The 21,596-nt window shown below is 43.8% G+C and overlaps 1 protein-coding gene across 11 annotated transcripts in view; it reads right to left on the reverse strand.

The window, feature by feature from the left end:
* The window catches only part of FRMD3 (FERM domain containing 3), a 342,803-nt gene that overhangs the window by 47,880 nt on the left and 273,327 nt on the right, over nucleotides 1-21,596 (reverse strand). For all 11 annotated transcript variants that reach the window (NM_001244959.2, NM_001244961.2, XM_024447487.2 and 8 more), the window contains 5 exons: nucleotides 21,016-21,104; nucleotides 19,614-19,677; nucleotides 18,665-18,753; nucleotides 8,241-8,315; nucleotides 7,877-7,945 (listed from right to left, as the gene is read on the reverse strand). In NM_001244959.2, the coding sequence (NP_001231888.1) occupies nucleotides 7,877-7,945; nucleotides 8,241-8,315; nucleotides 18,665-18,753; nucleotides 19,614-19,677; nucleotides 21,016-21,104 (386 nt within the window). The remainder of the gene's footprint in view (nucleotides 1-7,876; nucleotides 7,946-8,240; nucleotides 8,316-18,664; nucleotides 18,754-19,613; nucleotides 19,678-21,015; nucleotides 21,105-21,596) is intronic.

Below are 21,596 nucleotides of genomic sequence, written 5' to 3' on the forward strand. Positions count from 1 at the left end.
TAACATTCAAGATAAATGGCCCTTTCTGCTCTTAAGGTCCTGACCAAATGTCCCTATGTTCTACTGCAACTCAACGAAAGAAAATACAGTTCCCAATACATCACCAGCCCTGAGCATGCTAGGTGACAGCCTGGGCGTTTTTTAAAAAAAAAGAAAGAAGAAACAAAAAGACATGGGAGGTAGCTAGCACTGAACTAGATATGTAGAAAAGTGAATGAAGGGCATGGCTCAGAGAAATTTAACAACCACCAACAAACAAAAACAAAAACCCCTGCCAGATAGATGATGCAGATGTTCTACAGCTATAAGCTATCTTTGTGTTGCTGGATGTCCAATGTTTAATATCAGTGTTTAATATTCTCAAAGTTACACCCTACTCACTAACTGGCCATGGCTCTGTTTTCTCCTCTGGAAAGGAGCATGCAGGTGTGTCTGGCTGAGACTAGCAACAGATGGCAAGGAAACTGTGCAGGTATCTCATTAAGCCTATTGGTTGGGAGCTGGGGAGCCCGCTTGCCCTACCTGCTGCAGAGATACTAGCTGCTTGCCCTAGTCTGCCTGCAGGTGGATGTTTGCACACCCTTCCTCACTCCCCATGCTTCCTGTCAAAACCAAAACCAGTGCATACTTTAAAAAGGAGTCAAATGTTTCCTTCCCCTGGAAGCCTTCCCAGATTGCTCCTCCCAATGCACACAGTCTCTCTCTCTCTCTCTCTCCCTTCCTCTCCCTCTCTTTGACTACTTTCTCTTCTTTCATAACTCACTGCATTTTCACCTCTGTCTCTGTCTAGTTATTGGTGTACTGATCATCCCCACCTAGATAAGCACCTTAAGGGCAGAGACTGAGCCAGCCATACTTGTGCATCTCACTTGGCATCTTGTGAAAATGTGTTCAGGTTTGAAACTAAAGTGCACCAAATGCAATCCTGGCTTGACATATGTTGCCATTTCAGCCTGGTCAGAGTGTTCCCTAGACCGGCTGCAGGACTACCTTCTAGCCTGAGTGTTTCTGTTGGGCAGCAGGAGTGGGGAACAGCAAGATGCCTGCTACCATCTTGAATTAAAAGCTCCCATGGCTGGCATGGGCTAGAAAGGAAATTTATGAGGACTTGCTTAGCCATGGAGTCCTTTTCTTCATTATTTCATTTTACAGCCATTTACTCTGCAGCTGATATATACAAATTGGACATTCTGCTTTGCTCCAGAGAACTGTAGTCCTCACCTTAAGTAACTCACTGTCTAGAACCATAATTTTTAAGCTTTCTGGTCTGAGACCTACATTAATAAATACTTTTTTTTTTTTTTTGAGACAGAGTCTCGCTCTGTCACCTAGGCTGGAGTGCAGTGGTGCAATCTCGGCTCACTGCAACCTCTGCCTCCTGGGTTCAAGCAATTCTCCTGCCTCAGCCTCGCGAGTAGCTGGGATTACAGGTGTGTGCCACCACACCCAGCTAAATTTTTGTATTTTTAGTAGAGACGGGGTTCACTGTGTTAACCAGGATGATGGTCTTCATCTTCTGACCTCATGATCTGCCCATCTCGGCCTCCCAAAATGCTGGGATTACAGGCTTGAGCCACTACGCCCAGCCCCAAGAAACACATTTTATATAATCTCCCTGTACCCAAACACACACAGGAAGAAGCACAACTGAAATTAATGTCTTATGGAACAATAGTTACATATCTATGTATAATCCACTATTTTAAAATTCTAGTTCATTTTAAGTCCCAGTCTTGATCACTACTTTATTTCATAACTACCCCCAACTTTGTATTTTTTATTTTTTATTTTTTTGAGACGGAGTCTCACTCTGTCGCCTAGGCTGGAGTGCAGTGGTACGATCTCGGCTCACTACAACCTCCACCTCCTGGGTTCAAGTGATTCTCCTCCCTCAGCCTCCCGAGTAGCTGGGATTACAGGCATCTGCCACCATGCCCAGCTAATTTTTGTATTTTTAGTAGAGACTGTTTCACCATGTTGGGCAGGCTGGTCTCAAACTCCTGACCTAAGGTGATCACCCACCTTAGCCTCCCAAAGTGCTGGGATTACAGGCGTGAGCCACCACGCCCAGCCACATGACTCCTTTATGTGCTGTAGCCACAGCTGGAACACCGTGCCTCTCATGAAGGTGACTGATGGCCAGGGTCCCATGGGAGCACAAAGGAGGGGCACCTAATCCGGTGTGAGTGAGGAGAGAGCCAGGAGTGATCTCCCAAGGGAGGCAAGGCCTGCAGCTGTTCTGGTGAGCACAGTGCTTTCTACAGGGAAAGAACCGTAGATAGAGAAATCTTTACAAAAGGAAGGAGGGGAGGGAGGGAGGAAGGGAGGGATAAAAATTCGCCATGAGCAGTTTCTTCTTTTATTGTGAAGGGTTCTCAGTTTTTGAGCTCTCCTGGGATTTCTTCTGGTCATGGCCACTCATGACTATGATTCTAACTCTGCAAGGACAACATACTGTCATTCCTGTGTGGTCTGTGTAGCTTTCTGACCTCTGAAAAGCCCATCCATCCATTCTTGCACGTGCAGTTCTGAATTGCTCTACTCCACCTCTGACCATCCATGCCAGCTGGACTGGCTGCTGTTCCTATCCCCAGGAATCACTGCTTATGCTACAACGATGGGCCCTCGGTGAGCCTTTATGAGCTTATTTTGCTCCCCATCAGACCTCCTTCCAACATTCTGTAGCTGGAGATACCAAGCATCCTGCTGCCCCCAACCCACAACATTGCAATGTCCAGACAATTGCCTAGCTCTAAGACAGGCTGGGCTCACCAGGCTGATATCCCAGGTATGAGCCTGCCTTGGCATTAGATGGCCAGGAGGATGCCAGCTCGGCCCCTACATTCATAGGCTCCTGTTTCTCTGGTGTAGCAGAGGCCCATGGCCAGGGACAGGGGCATATAGGACGTGCCTTGTATTAGACCAGGTGACTCCTGCAGTGGATTACAACCCTGAGACTCTCCAATAATATGACTCAGAGAAGAACATTTCTTCCCTGATAAGTATAAGACTCAGATAAACCCAAAGGTGGATACAACTAGGGATTTCCCTGAAGCACAAAGAATCCAGGGCTCCCAGCCCAATGTGAGGCACTTTGACAGCCTGGGGGAAAGAGTCAGCAACATTAAAAAACAACAGGCCAAGTCTCCCACCTTTCGCTATTGTGATGGCCTCAATGTCTGTGTTTCCTTAAAATTCATTTGTTGAAACCTAAACTCCAATGTAATGGTATTAAGAGGTGGGGCCTTCAGGAGGTGATTAGGTCATGATCACATGAATAGAATTAGTATCCTTATAAAAGAGGTCTGAGAGAGCTTGTTTCCCCCTTCTGCCATGTGAGGACACAGCAAGAAGGCACCATCTATGAGGAAGCAGGTGTTTGCCAGATGCTCAATCTGCTGGTGTCTTGATCTTGGACTTCCCAGCTTCTAAAACTGTGAGAAATAAATTTCTGTTGTCTATAAGCCACCCTGGTCTATGGTATTTTGTTATAGCAACCCAACTGGACTAATAAATCTACCAACTCCTTTAAACTAAAGATTACACCTTCTTACCTAATTCTCTCTTTAAACTTTTTAAAGGTGCCAACTGATCCTGGCTTCATTTAAAGCAAGAGCCCGCCAGCCCAATTGAACTAATGACAAATATAATACGCAAATTTGAATGGCTATCTTCTTTTCATTTGCAAAGTTGTTTGTATAAACTTTACCTCATCTTTTTCTCTTAGTGCGTCTTGCCTATAAGACAGGCAAGGTAAATGTCATATTTGCAGATGAGAAAACTGAGACTCAGGGAGCTTATGTAATGTGACTAAAGACGCTTATATGGGCAAACTTAGGACTCAAAGCTCAAAGCCAGATAATCTGATTCCTGGTCCAAGGCTTTTGCTATGCTGCACACTGCCTTTCTGCATGATTTGGCCTGCAATGTCCCAAAGGAGACTCTGCTTGCTACCCCTACTGTCCTCCTGTTTCTGGCTACATGAGGTCCCACTGTGTCAGGCACTTTCTGAAGTATGTGCAGATGTCCCAGTCAGCTTCCACTCTGCCTTTCCACCTGAACTCCTGAGGTAACTGTGTTTATGCCTGAGGTCCCTCCAGGCCAGGCTAGGATACGTGCCATGTTTCTCCACTCTCAGAATCCATCTATCAGATGACTCTGCAAAAATATCTGGCCCGCTTTGCAGCCCCACTCATGCATGTACTCCCAGCATAGAATGGTCTCCAAATGAAGTTGTCATTAAGAACTCTATTGAAATAGAAAGGTTTCCTTTGGGAACTACAATTATATTCTAATACTGGGGCAAATGTGGTTTGAATATATTTATCCCATTTGTTTTTCTCATTGTGCATGTAAGATGGGCAAGAAAAATACCATATTTACAGGTGAGGAAACTGACATTATGTAACTCAACTAAAAGATGCTTATATAGGCAGACTCAGGACTCAAAAATGGTAGCATAAAATAGTGACTCCTGGAGTTCCTATATCCCTCCTTGAAATTAAAAGAAGTAGTGCCAGCCTCTAAAAACTCCACCTGGAGGGATTTTAATGTGAATGTATCTGTCATATTCCAGTTTTTCATTTTTGGATAAGAGATGGTAGTAATATTATCAACACCTCATATTTGTATGGCACTTTAGAATTTTTAAAGCACTTTAATACTCATAACAAAGCCTAGAAGTTGGGCAAAGTGATGTTGTAAATCTCATGTTATAGATGAGTACGCTGATGATCTGAGAAGTGATTTACCCAAGGCCATACAGTTGGCAAACAACACAGCTAAGATTAGAACCCACTCGTGACCCCTACACAGGTGCTTGTGTTCGGTAAAAATGCTGCCTCAGAGTGTCTGCTGTGGTGGCTGCTATGCCCAGGTGGCTCACACAACCAGCCCTCGGCTCACCAAGCTACAGCCCTCTCACTGGGCCTCTGGAACAGGCAGATGATTGTCACCCAGTGGCCAGTTCAGGAGGGTTTGGCTTGGGTATCTTGTCATCAATGATGATCAGCATGAAAACATCAGAGTTAGCTTCTGCTCCTCTTTTTGAAGAAGAAAAATTCCAAGAAAGTGTTCTCAGTCTGCTTCTGTTTCTCTACATAAACACACACACCTCAGCAGATGTAGGAGTCTGTGAACTTGGCATTATTTGAAGAGTAGAATATCAGAATGTGAAGAAAATTCACTAATTAAAGTATTATCACCACCATTGTAGACTATCACCTCTGAACGCCCACCACAAGAGGAGAGCTTATTACTACATTCTCACTTTTGACAGCAGCTTCAAAGAAGCTGAAATACTTTGAAAACCAAACAAGTGTCCAAGAGGAACAATTTTCTACCACACAACCAGCTACTGGGATGGAAGGAGGAGTTGCCTGAATGAAGGTTTCACACATCACTATGGCTTTGACCACAATGCTGTCTCTGGGGAGATTGAGGTCCCCGGGGCAGCACCTTGGACAGATCTCACATCAAAGAAAATGACAGGTGCTGCTGTCATCCCATACTCCTAGCTCATGCATTCATTCAACAGCTATATATTGACCTCTACTATGTGGCAAGCACTGTGTTAGGTGCTGGGGGACATGGAGATGACCAAGATAGACACGGTCCTTTCCTCCAAGAGGTTGCTTTGTAGCATTACATTAATCAAATTCTTTCTGGTGTTGTCAGAGATTTGAGAGATGCTGCAAAGAACCATGGAGGCATCCTAAGGATGTGAACTCAACAGTCTTTCATATGCCCAGGGGGAGGTGGAACAGAAAGAGCATTCAAAGCAGGTCTCAAGGGCCCCCAGGTCCTTGTTTGCAGTAATATCTTGGGAGATTTTAGAAGATTCCAGAAAAGGGAAACTATGATTTGGTGGATGCCTCAGCATGTATCCACTTTCCTCGCACTCTGGGGTTCAGTCTACTCCAAGAAAAGTGCTTCACTCCAGCAAGCCTGCTCCCTTCACCCTTCCACCACCTGTTACCAAGAGCCTGGCTACTCAAAGTATGGCCCATGGACCAGCCGCGTGACCATCATCTGAGAAAATGTTAGAAACACAGACTCTCAAGCATCACTCCAGGCTTCTTGAATCAGAATCTGATTTTAACAGAATCCTGAGGTGATCCCTGTGCAAGTTACAATTTGAGAAACCCTGAGCTAGAAAGCCTTGGTTTCCATAAATTATTCAAACCAAAATTTACAAGAGAAGCATTTAAAAAAATTCTTTATTGACCTCATTAACCATCCAAAGATGGTAACTTTGAGACTCAAAAAGCCTTATTTTTTGGAATATGTATCTCTGAAAGTATATTGCAAAAAAAGTGTCCTGCTTTGTGTTTGTGCTACCAGGAGAACTCCCTCAGCATCAGGTATTTAAGATCAAATATTTGAGCTTCAACCTGGAAGAATAAAATGCATGCTGAACCACTTGGGGTAGTTCCACCTCCACTACCAGCTTCTAAGAAAATGCCAGGTGCTCTCAGGGTGCTACAGAGAAAAGAGCTGAGAACACAGAAGCAGGACACTGGAGTTCTAGGCTTAGGTCTGCCATCAAAAAAAGTCAGGACCTTGGATAAATGACTTAACTTGTGTGAGACTCAAGTTTCTTTGTCTACAAAACAGAAGCATCAAACTAGGCAATCCCTGAGGTCATTTCCAGTTCAAAGATTCTGAAACAGATGAATGATATGTTTTATCATTTCCTCTTCATTTCTGCTGCATTGAATAAGTACAATTTGGGGAAGAGGAGGGAACCATAAAGACTTTTCTCATTGGTGGGCAGGCTGCACTTTCAGGATCTGCACCAACATGCCTGGAGCCAAGATTCTCCAGCTTCTCTCATCCTGTAGTCTTCTGCTTCTTACAGTGTGATAGCCTGGTTTTGCAGACTTTCACATTACAGCTCCTCACCAAGTCACCCCAAAGCAGGAACAAATTTTCTTCTGTACACATCTACATGGGATATCATGCCAACTGCACTTCTGCTCCCCGGTGTGGGAGAGAAATGCCATCTGGATGCTTCTCCAGGCTGGCTTAGCCACACTTCTGTGGGACCACAGCCTCCTCCTGCCCAACAACCCCAAGGGACAGGGTGGAGAGGCACCCAGCTCATTTAGTCACCCTGGAAATGGAGGAAACTGGAAAATCCAAGCATAAAGGAAATACCTCTGGGTTTCAAAGATGGGAAAGAAAGGGCAGGTGCAAACCAGTGTAGGGGGACTTCCTAAATAATTTAGCTCATGGTGATCTTTCCTTAAAAAGTGGGAGGCAACACGTTGAGAATGCTGAGCTTTAGATATGCAGCATATTTGAGGTTTAGGATGGGCAATGATTTGTGTAAATTGTGGTAGTGTGAAGTCCAACATGGCAAGAGAATATTTAATTCTTAAGAATGACTGCATATCGTCACCTTAATGGAGGTGTGTACTCTTGAGCCAACAATGACTAAGTCCTTCATTCCTCTGCATGGCCCTAGAGAGTAATGGCCCCATGAAAGGTCAGCCCGGAGTCAGGCCAATGGGAACGGGCCAAATATGATGAATACAGGCAGGAACAGAGAACTTGTAAGAGGATGAGATGACAGAGTTTGGCCAGGTGATTAAAAGGATGAGATGACAGAGTTTGCCCAGGCAATGGCACAGCATCCTGCTTGTTAAGGTGACGCTCCAGACCTAATCAATGACTCTCCTGAGAGCACATAACTCAAAGTGGAGCCCAGCTGTGCTCATGCCATGGCCCAGGCAAATCTGTCTGAGTGAGATGTCTAAGGAAGTGAGAATGTCCTTCTTTAATGCTGTATGTCACTACACAAAGGGATGTTATAGGGGATTTGGAAAAGCCAGCTTTTAAAGCCACCTGGAACCCACAGTGATCATCCACTCACCTGTGCACCTCAGGAGGCTCCCTCTGGATCTTGGAACTGGCCTCCACCACCTCTTTGGCAACTTTCCCACTGCAAAAGACAGAAACACATGTGTATGCACACATAGTCAGAGAAGAATGGGAGGGATATGCACAAGTGTCCTTTTGTTAACTTCACAGGTGTCTGACCCAGCTATAGAAATCATGAGGGGGAAAATTACGGTAGAATTTGAGGGTGCCCTGTGAGCATAAGACAGCAATGGAGTAGAAATGGAAGACTCAAACAGAGGCACAAGCCAAAGGCCACTTATTTGCAAGCAGAATTTTGAAATTTAAGTGGCTGCCCATCCCCACCCCCTCACTGAAATGGAACCATTGGTACCCACCTATATCGAAATCTACTTCCTTTAAAAAATATCTTGCTGCTTGATACAGTCTTGATCTGACTGGATTTTGCATACCTTTAAGAAAAAGCAAAGCACAGGTGGTTAGGACATTGGAAAGTCCACTTACAACATGCTATAGAGGTGTGGTGATGGGGTATTTTTACTGCAAGAAAGAAATGTAATTTACCTTGTGACTCAGCCTGCATTGTGCACACAAAATATAAGAAAAGCTTCACAAAAGAATAGTTACTTTCACTATGTGTATTGCATTCTAATATTTTCTACGCTATTTCCTTTCATTCTTTTTAAATTCATGACCCACATACTGGGTTTCATAATTCATTAGTGGGTCACAACCTGCAAAAAGGACTGGGCAGTGATGATCAGAAGGAATTCTCCCCTAATTTCTATCTGAAGATATGGAGAAGAGGGAATTTTGTGACATGGCATCAGGAAGTTCGTGGTTGTTAGGGCACTTTGCTGCCTATTCCTGTATCCACAGTGAGGCAGAAAACAGCTTCCTGGCAACAGAGGTCACTGACTATGCCACGAAGAACTCACTGTGCATTGCCCAAGTGAGGGAACAAGGGTCCCGCATCACCACAGGAATGGTCACTGGCTTCTGTGTCACCATGACCCAGTGCCCTTTAAAAGAACCCACAGTGGTAGATGACTAAGATACACGAGGCAGAAGCTGCCCAGACAAGAACTGATTCAGCACCTCTGAGCCCTACTCGTAAATAAGAGCAAAACAACAACACTCTGAAAAGCAGCCTAGAGCCTGGGCTGCCGGAAGGCTGCACACAGGGCACTAAATTACTGTGACAGCTGAGGATGGCTCTACAGCAGTCATGTTAAGCCTTGTACAATTAAATCCAACAAGTTAGAAAGAACAGGTCTCAGAGAGTTCAGCATCGTTTAAAATATTGATAGTCACAAAATCTTAAACACACACAGACAAAATCAATATGATCTGTAGCATCCTGAGCAAAGACATGCACGGAGCCAGGGAAGTTTCAGCGCAGTGATCCCCACCCTTGAGCCTCTTGAAGCTTCCTTTATTCACTCAGCAATCATTAACTGAGTGCCATCCCTGCTCTACACACCAAGGTAAGTACAAGAAAGACACATGGCTGATCTAGCCTGGGGGCCAGAGAAGATGCCCTGAGGAAGGGACATCTGAGTTGAGATCCAGAGGCTGAAAGGTGTTAACCAGGGCACGGTGCAAGTGGTGGTGGATATACCCAGCAGAGGGCCAGCAGGCGCAAAGCCATCAGCCTAAACATCTAGAGAACTCAAAACACTCAATTATTCTAAGTTAAGCAACTCAGGAATGGAAAACCAAAAATTCTATATTCTCACTTCTAAGTGGGAGCTAAGCTATGCATATGCAAAGGCATACAGAGTGATATAATGGACTTTATAGACTCAGAAGGGGAGGGTAGTAGGGGCCAGGGATAAAAACTACACATTAGGTGCAATATACACTAATTGACAGGTGCTCCAAAATCTCAGAATTTACCACAATATAATTCATCCATGTAATTGAAAACCATTTGTACCCCAAAAGGTATTGAAATTTTTTAAAAATATATAAAATACATTTTTAAAAGACTCAATGCACATTTTCCCATGTTATTATTACTACACACACACATATTTTTTTTCCTTTCCTAATAAAGATAAGTGAATGTACAGATGTACGAAGGAGAATAAGGCAAACTTGGACAGAGAGCCAGAATCCAATTTCCCAGGACCAGACCTTAAGTGGTCCTTGTTAAGGATCTTGGTCTTTATCGAGAGAACAATGGAAAGCCATAGGAACAATCTTTTGCAAAGAAGCCCCTTCCCACCACCTGTGTAAACAGCCAAAGATGACACAGAAGGGCACTGGACACAAATATTAAGCAGGGAGAGTAAGATGGGCAAGGGAGGGCACAGGGCTTGGCAGGGGGATCCTGTCAGGGCAGGGCCCAGAGAAAATGGTACAGGACCCCTGAGGACACACAGAGGCACGTGAGAGCCATGGCCCTGGGGGGGGCCCTGCAGTGTGCTGGCTGGAGCTTCCTTCCAGACCACACCCACTCACGAGGCTAGAAACCCCCAGCAAGCTGCATTGAGATGGTCCCAGCTGTGCCCTCCACCTCCTATGAGGACATGCCTGCTCTGGGTCCATCTGCACCCCCTAAAACTCCCCACTAGCCCTACAGAGCTGTGGCCTGACACTTTATCTACTGGAGCCTGAGAAAAGGACAATCACCTCTGCCCTCTCCCCATCTTCTTGGAAGGGTTGCTCCCAAGTCCTCAAAGATTGGGAGAAGAGAAAGCTTTAAAGAAGCTTCTATTTTTTATTGTGTATGTGTTTTTTTTTAATTCCAAGTTCCTAAAGATCCTTGGGACAAAGTGGTTGGCTTAAAAAAAAAAAAAGATTGAGTTTCTTAATTGGGTTTTTAAAATTCAAACTCAACACTTTGCCCATTCTACAGAAGCGACACGTGAAGCCGGCAAAGCCGGCGCAGGTGTGAGTCAACCTCCTGGCCACTCAGGTGGCTCTTTTTCACTAGTTTGGCCTTAGCTCTGGCCCTTCCAGGCCCCAGGAGGAAGCCACTATCATCGGCTTGAACCCAGACTGGCCTCTTAGAGGGAAGTCTCAGTCTCAGTACTGCTTCCCAAAAACCCTCAAAGTGACTCAAAAGAAGCAGGTCAAAAGATACATTTCACAAAGATGGCCAGTAGCTGTATGCTCAGGATGAGCAGAGAGAAAAGACTGTGCGTCTTTCTGGCTGCGGGTTCCCCTGGAGGAGTATCTGCAGGTGATCTGATTTGCTCAGAGACAGTTGCCTCAGAGCATTCCCACGAATCCCCTGCCCTCCCAAATGTCCAGGTGAACTCCCAGAATGTTTCAGCTGAGATTTTTAATGAAACGTTAACAGGCAGTTTATTCTGAGAGCTCAAATGACACCCATGCACTGGGAATTGGGAAACAAGGCTGTAGAGGGGAGGGGAATGGAGAGAGGAGAAAGAATGGTGGCCAGGTTAAAGTACATGAATCCGGAGTACCAGATCCCAAACCTGGCCGGGCATCAGACACCTGGAGTAGGTATAAAAAACACAGGTTCTCAGGCTTGATCATGAGAGATTCTGATTCAGTGGGTCTGAAGAGGGGCTTGACTTTAATCAAGCACCTTAAGGGGATTCCAAGAAGTCCACTTACATTGGAGAAACTCTGTACCCCCAAATTCTCCTAGGATGACCCAAGAGGTGACATTTCACCTGAAAGAACAGTGGTCCAGATTCCTATTCACGTCTGGTTCTGTGACCTTGGTCATGCCATGTGGCTTTGCTGAGCCTCGGTTTCTCTACATATTATTAAAGGGGGAGGGTGTCATAATATTTCATAGTACTCTCAGGAGGGTTACACAAGAGTAAATGATTTGAAAGCACCTAGCATCATACCTGCTCATTATATAATAGTTTCCCTTCCTCCCTTCCCACCTTCCTCCCTCCCTAATATCAATCTCAAACCTCTTCATCGCCTTCTCACTATGAAGCTACCAAAGCCAATCCTCTAAATTATGGAGGTTCCAGAAAACCATGTTAAACACTCTGAAAGCAAATAAAAGAGCTCTAACTCCAGCCAAAATGTTCTGAGCACTCTGTTTACCAGACTCTCCCATCAACAGCAAGCCCAGGGAAGAGTATTCTTCCCACAGAAAGCAATGAGTTCACAGCCTCATTGGAACAGCAATTCGCTCTCCTACAGCCTTCTGCCTTCCTTTCCACCCGCCGTCTCCCACTTCAACTTCCAACTCCCCATCAAAGTCCCAACACAAGAAGTATGACTATGCCCAAACATCTGACCTCACAAAGAAATCCAGATCGTCTCTGCAGGAGCACACCTCCCCTCTCCCCAACCTGCAATTTCTCCTCTGAACCCTGCTATTCCAGGGGCTTGAAGATCAGGATAGGTACTGGGGGGACATTGGGTGGTGCTCCAAGAGGCCACCTCTAGAATTAACAACACTATTTCCCATTGAAGTCATAATTTAGAGTTCCTGGAGTAACCATAACAATAACAGCATTTACTACTGAGCCTTTAATATGGGCAATGCCCCATCCAAAGCACCTTTAATATACAATTCATTTTATCCTCACGGCTCTCTACCAGGAGGAAGGGATCCGCATTTTCACATAAGGAAAATAAGGCACAGAGAGGTTTAATCACTTTACCATGGTTCCATGATAGAAGCTGCAGGAACCAGGCTATAAATCCTAGTCTGTCTGATTTCAGTATTTAAAAAATCATGCTCTAGTCGTACTGGCTCTCAAATTTTAGTGAGCAACAAATCACCTGGAAGGCTTTTTAAAACACCTGTCTCTGATTCAGTAGATCTGGGGAAGAGCCCAAGAATCTGCATTTCCAAAAAATCCCGGGAGTGATGATGCTGGTCCAGGGACCTGATGGGAGAATCACTGAACTAAAGCAATGTCTTAACCCCTCAATGGCATGTTAGCAATAACTGGGAAACTTCTAGCACTGCCAACACCTAGGTTCCTCATCCCAGATTCAGATTTCTCAAAATAACAGCTTTGTCGAGATATAATTTACATACCTTAAATTTCACCCTTTTAGATTGTACACTTTGGTGGGTTTTAGTATAATTCATGAAGTTAAAAAAAGAAATTACGAAAATCAATCACCACTATCTAATACGAAAACATTTTCATCACCTCCAAAAGAAACCACCTGTCACTGCAATGGGTATTGGCAGTCACTCCCTGATTCCCCTCCTCATCTCACCACTCCCAGCCCTAAGCAACCGCTCATCTAGTTTATATATTTGCCATTTTAGATATTTCATTTCAATGGACTCATGCAATATGTGGTGCTTTGTAAATGGTTTCTTTCACTTAGCATACTGTTTCCAAGGCTCATCCAAGTTGTAGTATCAGTTCTCCATTCCTTTCTATGGCTGAATGATATACCATTGTATGGATATACCGCATTTTGTTTATCCATTCATCATTTGATGGACATTGGATTGTTTCCACTTTTTGGCTATTACGACTAATGCTGCTATGAACGCTTGTGCACAAGTTTTAATGAAGACCCAGATTCCACTTTAATTGGGTCTGGGGTAGGATGCAGGGACCCATAGCACTGGTATTAATAGTTTTTAAAAGCTCCTCCAGGTGATGTTAATGTAGTCAGGATTGAGAACTGCTGATTTAGAACCTTATTACTTGGAGTGTGGTCTACGGACCCACCGCACAGTATCCCCTGGAATTTATTAAAAATATGGACTCTCATGCCCACCCCAGACCTTTTGAATTAGAATGCACATTTTAACCAGCTCCCCAGCTCATTCATGTGTGCATTCAAGTGTGAGAGGCACTTGTTTAGGGAGCTAGTCTGGGTTCTTACCTACCAAGCATAACACTGTTCCTTTGACAAAATGTACACCAAACTCTGAATAAGAAATGTATTAGGAACTGCTTTTATCCCTTGCACACAATTCCAAAACAAATTGGGAACACAGTGTCATACAGCCTCAACCATGTATCCAGTACACAGCAAAAACTGTGAGATAAAGATGCTGTTAATGAAAACATCAGTGAGCCACTGAATCCCTCAATGCGTCCAGTGTGCTTTCAGTGAACCAGCACCCAGAAACAGTGAGCTCTGGGGTTGGCAGCACCATGACAGACCACACATGGTATAAAGGAAGCTCTTAAATGGTGAATAAGTCTGTGTTGGAGATCCCCTGGGGTCTGGAGTAGGCGGGAAAAATCAGAGTTTCTGCGTCTGGGCTCCATTCCCAGGCAGATCTCAGAGCCAGGGCTTTCAAAACAGATCTGTGGCCCTGGGCCAGCTGACAACCAGCAGCGCATTTGCGTCCTAAAAGCACACTGGGGAATTCGCAAGCAGAGGCCCCGGGCCTCCCCGCTCCCATGCAGGTGAAGTAAAAATGGAAGGAACAAACCATCTAGGAAACAAGATTAGGGCCTTGCTCTGCCAGCTGAAACCATTAAAATGCAGGGCCAGCAGGACAGAGCTAGAAGCAGGGCCAGGACCTCTGCCCAGGGAAGGGTGGTCACAGTGAAGGAAGCAGGCATACCCCTGAGGTTACCATAATCAGAGTCTTCCCAATGAAAAGGAGTGGGCTCTTCATCCAACTGCTGCTCAAAATACTCTCATCATTAGCAGAGGGGGCAGTAATACAGCAGCAGCTTCTGCTCATCAATGGTTCATATGCCTGGCAGAACTGAGCACAGCAAGGCAGGTAATTCAATCTCATTTCACAGATGAAAAATAAAGATGAGGCTCCAAGAGATTAACAGCTTTGTTCCAGGCCACACTGCTATAAATGACAGAGTCAAGACTTAGAACCAAGCCCATTGACTTCCAAAGCTCACACTCATTACACTATGCCCCAGTGGTACAAGCAAATGCACCCAGGTCAGTCCCAGGCCCATTCATTCTACAGGTGAGGAGGCTAAGACCAGACAGCACTAAAGTGACCTGGCCAAGGTCCCACAGCTGGGCCAGAACAAGTGATACTTCCCCTCCTTCCTCAGGAACAAGGATGGTTATGGGATAATGGAGGAACAAAATGTTCAGGCAAATCTCAGACGGCTATAAATATTCAGGTTTAGAAGTCGAATGAGATGAGGGTAGCTTGGTTAACTATAGCCAAAGTGCCAATGCAAAGACTGGTCAACCATATACAGTTTGTCACTTGTGCTCACAGCTAAACCCTCCAAGTCTTCTGAAGCATCCACAAGTGACTGGAAGGGACTTCTCTGACATGCCAAGTTGACCTACCTAGTTCATGATAAAATTACCAGAATACCTTCCTTACTAGCTGCCAGCTAATCTGCTTACCCAAAATGTGTAAAACACATTTTCCATATTGCAGGTTTTTTCTCTCCCTTTCTCCTCTCAATTTTGTTTTTGCCTTTATTTAACTCTGTCTCCCAACTGACTTCCTCATATATGATAAAACAACGTGCGTGAAATAGCAAATGAATGTCTCCAAGTTATTCTTTGATACGGACCCAGTGATTTCACTAAAGTATCTTCAAGGCTGTGCCAAAGTCCTTCCAAGCAAAACTTGCTGTGTGGCTCTAAAGGAAGGCCTGTCTGCTAGGTGTTCTCCTGTATCACCCCCTCCCATAGGTCTGTCTGCACGTAAAGAATGATCAACCACACCTACTGCACCTCTGTTGCCTCTTTCACACTGGTCAAGCCATCCGTGTCTGGCCTCAAGACCTCCTGGTCCCTTATCACCTCTTTTTCTACCTCATCTACCCTCTGCTCCAACCTTGTAGCCACTCATGTCCCACAAAATGCATCCTCCACATTCCTGCCATGGTACCCTACGGGAGCTTGGATGTCCTTCCTCCACCTAAAAGGGTCTTCTACCTCCTAGCTCCCCTGGCAGCAAGATTCACCCTCTCCTCTGGATTCCTCTCTAGCTTTTTTCTTTTTTTTTCATTTCCCCCTTGGTCTCTTACATGAAATAACAATCTCCTGAGGACAGGAATCATGCCTTATCAATCTGAGCTAGTAAATGTGTTTTCAATGCCTGAGATCTTCAGGAAATAAAAAAAGCAGAAAAAGTTCCTACCCTCAGAGAGTTCAAACTGATTACAGATCTGACATGTTGGTATGGAAAAATCTACAATCCAATAGAAGTCTTGGAGAAAGGAACAAGGGAGAGTAACTCCTCAGTGAGTATATAGTTTCCTTCTGGGATTGATGAAAATGTTTGGAAATAGATAGAAATGATGGTTGGACAACATTTTAAACATACTCTGCCACTGAATTGTACACTTTAAAATAATTAATTTTATGTTACATGACTTTAACCTAAATACAAATCATGAATACAGGTTAAAAAAATAGAAATCAGATCTAGTACAGATACATAGTACAGATATATAAAATTCTGTAATAAAATCATGTCATGGTAGATCTTGTTTTTGCCTTGTTTCTTCACTCCATTTTTAATTCCCTCATATGCAAGAAAATATTCACTGAAAATAACTAACTGAACATCTGTAAGTTATCCTTTGACAGGAAACAGATGGTTTCATTCAAGAAAGAACAGAAGAGTTCCAAAAGCTTAGGCACTGAAAACAATGTGTCAGGTCCTCAAAAAGCTAAATATAGAGTTACCCTATGACCCAGCAGTTCCATCCTAGGTATATGCCCAAGAGAACTGTCCACACAAAAACTTGTATCCAATGCTCGTAGCAGCATTACTCATAGTAGCTAAAAAGAGGTAACAACCCAAGTGAGCATCAACTGATGAATGGATAAACCAAATGTGGTCTATTGAAACAATGCAGTGTCATTCAATCATAAACAGGAATAAAGTACTGAGACATGTTATAATATGGGTGAACTTTGGACACATTTTGTGACAACAGGCACAAATGGCCACATCGTTTATGATTCCACTTATATACAACTTATAATAGGTAAATCCATAAAAACAGAAAGTAGATTAGTGGTTGCCAGAGATTGGGGGGAGGAGGAAATGGGAAATGACTGCTAACTGGCATAAGGTTTATTTTGGGAAGGATAAAAATATTCTGGAATTAGATAGTGATAATGGCTATATCACTTTGTGAATTACACTAAAAACCACAAAACTGTATACTTTAAAAGGGTAAATTTTACGGCATGTAAATTAGATTTCCATTTAAAAAATTTTTTTTAAAACAAAATAAAAAATCACTAAGGCTCCAACTAAAGACTGAGAGCATCAAACCCTCTGTGTTTCCCTCTCTGAACTCTCATGTGGGTGAAGGCTTCTAGACATGTAGATTTTCCGAAGGCCAACTGGTCTCCTTCCTTATCAGTCCCCAAACATGCAGGAGGCACACAAAGACCTTGAGGTGGTGGTGGTCACAGGAAGGTCTACTGGTACACATCACCTTCTCCAATCATTCCTAGCACAGCATTTTGTGCGTCATCTCACCCAGTGGTGTTCAAATTATGCTCCTGGGTTTTCCCAGGGCTGATGGGTTTCCTGGGACATGGGGATGTCAGTGCTAAACTTAGGAAAGGCATAGGCAACCTGGACAACTGGTCACCCAAGCTCCTGAAAAGCAATGAACAATGGGCAAAGACCCTTCAATCTCCAATCCCATCCAAGGCCCCATCTACCACCACAACTTCTCTTTTTATCTCCTTTACATGCTGGACTTTGCCTATACTTCAGATTAAGGAAAAGTATTCTGTGGCCGAAACTGGTTTCAAAATCATTATCCAAGCCATCATTCTCCTGATGGTTCTCATCAGCCAAAGCCCAGGAGGTTCAGAGACAGCATTTTCAGGGAGATGAGTCTAATCAGGAAGACAGAATCTCACTGTAAGGGGCAGGGGGACTGATCAAAAGCCACCTGGATGAGGTCCAGGGGTGTACAGTGCTGATGGCCTGAGCAGGGCTGGACTAGGTTCTTAGTTGCATCCACTACCACTGCCTTTCCAGTCAGCAAGCGTCTCTCAGAGAAGAAGGTGTAACTCCATGCACAGATCTCAGTTTGAACTTCTTTTGAAACCTGAGAGCTTTACAGATGGTTTCTGAAGTCTTGTCCAGCACCTACTTTCTATGATCCTAGGCTCTGACAGCATTCCACCCATAAACCTTTGGCTCTATTTTCAATACACTGAAGCCTTCTTACTATGAACACAGGTGACTCTCTGCCAGAGGTCTCTTTTTCTGGTTGTGAAAGCACATCCAACCCATACTCAGAGTAAGCCAGAAATATCAGAGAGTATTAATTCTGGCCCCCAAAGCAGGCTTCAACCAAAATAAATGGCGAATTGGTAGATAAACAGCCCCACCTCTTTGCCCATCAGCAGGAGAACTGTGAGGCATATTATACCATGTCCCAGAGTTCCTAAGAAGATCTGAGCCCAGTTGTCCACAGTAGTGACCTGCTCAATAATGCATCTTATATTGCTTCCCCATCTCACCACCCCCCACCACTCCCCTACTGGTATGTCCATTGATTACATCCCAAATAAGCTACTTGTACCAAACTATCTCAAGGTCTGCTTTGTGGGGGTGGGGGGAGGAGGGCAACCAAAAATTGATCCTGTGACATATTTTGTGGAAATAGCTATTTGAAATACACACACACACACACACACACACACACACACACACACACACACAGTGGCCCACAGCCATTCCACAGGAAACATCCAACATAGAGCTCAGAACTCGGTCAGGCCAACAAGCCAACAATCACCGGGAGTCACCCTGAACAATGCACAAAATTTTAATTTACTTAAATATAACTTTTAAAACTGTATTAAAAGAAATAAATATGCAGCCATTTGCAAAACATAAAGAATTCCATGGGTGCTTTTAAAAGCTATAATTAAATGAATAAAAGCCACTTACTTATAAAAGGCCTGGTTTTCCACTCCACACTTCCAAAGATGTTTGCAGGCAGCTGGTGTTGAAGTATGGAATGCCAACATGGCTTTTTTCTAATTAAAAAATAACAAAACAAGAAAAGGCACGTAAAATACCATTTACATTTTCCATGGGTTTTTTTTTTTCAGGTGTTTACCTCTTTGTATCCTATCTCCTATTACACAGACTTGAAGTAACTTAACATATTGCTATGTTATTTACAGTGTTATTAACATGGTATTCACCCCTCCCTCACCCTTTGCAGATATCACTAATGTATCTAGGACCTGTTTCTGATCAAAATCAGCCTCACAATGCTTCTCAACACTCCAGGCATCATCTACCTCTCTGTCACACTGGAATTAGCCTAAAAACATATTTGCCATCCTTGAGGAACTAGTACTTGGGCTGAAAACTCATGACAAGAAAACCCGCAAATTTCTAGAGCTACCTCTGAGGCTTAATATTTTGTTAATGGTCTCCGCACAAATGCATTCCCTGGTGAATCCACAATCTATATCTAGTAACTCCCTTGTTTTAAGACTCTCTGGACTAATAGGCTCTGTTTATAACACTCTAATGAGCACTGGTTGTTGAATATTTAGCTTTGTAAGTATTCTTTATTTGTTTCACATGTCTGTATCTTGGCAAAAAGAGGTAGGGAGAGGTTCCATCTTTTATTTCCAAAGTCTATCCCAGTCTGTTTTGCACATGGGGGTGTACAATCAGCATTGCTTACTGACTTTATTGTTCAATGTACAAACCCAGTACTCATTTGTTTGCCTCTAAAATATTTTTAGCATATAGCTTTCATTATCACCATACACTTCAAAGTCATGGTCTTTGGCGACTACAATACTAAAGGCATATTTTACTCCTGAATCTCTCTCATGCACACACAATAACAGGCAGTTAAAAAAAAGCAGTATCTGACCTCCTTCTGGGTGCCAATCACATAAAATGTCTTCCCTTCAAACTTCAATTTGCAGACATCTGGCCTAAGAAAAGAAAATCTCTGGGTAAGAAGAAAAAAAGTGGCAGCTAACCAAGGTACCTGGGTTTCCCATAGGAATCTGACTCAAAAATGCCAGGCAGATTGCAGTGAAACAAGGTATTATCATTGGTGAAGGTCTAATGGGCAGTGAAAAGCCTCGAGTGAATTATACAGCAATTCTCTTCCCAAGAGAGGATCCGCACAGAGCTCAGAATTATTTATTCTATTATTTACAGTCAGGCTGCATCGTTCTTCCAAGAAGCTCTAGTGTTCGTGAACATTAATGATCAGAACAATATTAATTGCCCAGCCCACTTAGCAAGGTGGGAAGAACGTGGTGATTTCAGATTCAGTTAATGAAATGATGCGGATTCACAGTATCTGACTTTCTCCTCCTTCTGCATCCATTTCCAAGAAGCAAATCCACTGCACTGCAAAATGTTCACTCCTGTTTTCCCTGTTTACAAAAGAATTGTGTTCTTATATATTGGAGTTCCCATTCTTTTCAGCAAGGACCGGTTTAAATAGAAACATGTGACCCAATTCTGTCCAATTAGGTATACAGGAAGTCTCCTACAGGGCTTCTAAAAAATTATCCTTGTTTGAAAAGGAGACACATGGAAGGGGCTGCTCTCCTCCAGGCTCCGGGCATTGCCATGGGGAGATGTGCAGGCCAGTCCCGCACATGCCCATCTCAGGAGCAGGAGCCTCAGGACCAATGCGCCTGACTGAGAATGGCAGAGAAAAAAAAAAAAAAAAACAGAGACCTAAATCCTTCCCGGCATTTAAGTTAATAGGCAGTTAAGTTAACAGACCAGGGAACTGCTCCACGTTTGCTCTGTGAGCTGATTAGTCCTCTTATTTGTAAGCCATCATGAGTAGACATTCCTACTACCTTTTGCCAAAAGCATCTTCACGGATACACTGGATAACAAAGGGTGAGTTTGCACCCAGGACTCAACAGAGGAGAAGAGTGGAAAGAAGTGAGTTGGGGAGAGTGGATCCTGAGTTGTTCATGGGAACTCACACCTTTACCCTGCCCTGACCCATCCGTGTGCCCCCCTTGGCCACAGCAGTAGAAGCTACTGGTGAGGAAACACTGGATACCTTCTCTTTGAAGGCAGAGCCCCTGAGCCCACGCCTCCTAAGTTGACTCCTCAGCTTGGCAAATCCAAGTCCCCACCAAAGGCAACCTAGATGTTACATCCCTTTATGATGAAGCTCCAAGGCAAGGAAATGGATACCAGGCATTCTACCTGACACTTGCCCGAGAAGCCAAGGAGGGGACGGAGGAATCAAGATTAAGAAAAATGGAAAGCCAGTTTTCCAAAGAGGCACTTACCATTTTATCAAATGGATTCTCTTATTTCCCTGAAAGACCACAAAGCCTGCAGCTGTGAATCCTAAAAATGTTGTTGTGCCTGTTGAATCCTGAAAAAAAAAAAAAAGAAAAAAGAAAAATCTGTTTAGATTGAGAAAAATAAAATAAATGATAACCAATATATTTATTCATCCTCACCCTAGGTTAATTTTAGACTAATCCCAATGATTGTAGCAATAAACTAAGTTTCTGAGATGGAACTTCTAAGAGCAGGCCTTTCAAAGTCTGGGTGAAGTTCAGGAATATGTAGCTTTTCCCTTTGAGGAGCGGACCTTCTGCCCTCTAGGAACCTCCTGGAAAAATATGAATTAGTCCCAAATCACTATGTCTACTTCCCAGTGTCTTCCGGGGCTGCCTGTGTTCTAGGTCTGCTTTGTAATGTGAGAAAACTGTTCTTGCTTGCCATTAGCACTCTAACGTGATGAAACCAAAGCCCTGAGCATCTAATTTTGATTCAATCTCTCACAGGATTTCTGGAAATTTCAGTATAAAAATATCTCCAGAAAAGCTTACTGTGCTTCCAGCCTAGACCAGGAAAACTA

This window comes from Homo sapiens, chromosome 9 (assembly GCF_000001405.40).
Source record: "Homo sapiens chromosome 9, GRCh38.p14 Primary Assembly".
NCBI classification, from domain to species: domain Eukaryota; kingdom Metazoa; phylum Chordata; class Mammalia; order Primates; family Hominidae; genus Homo; species Homo sapiens.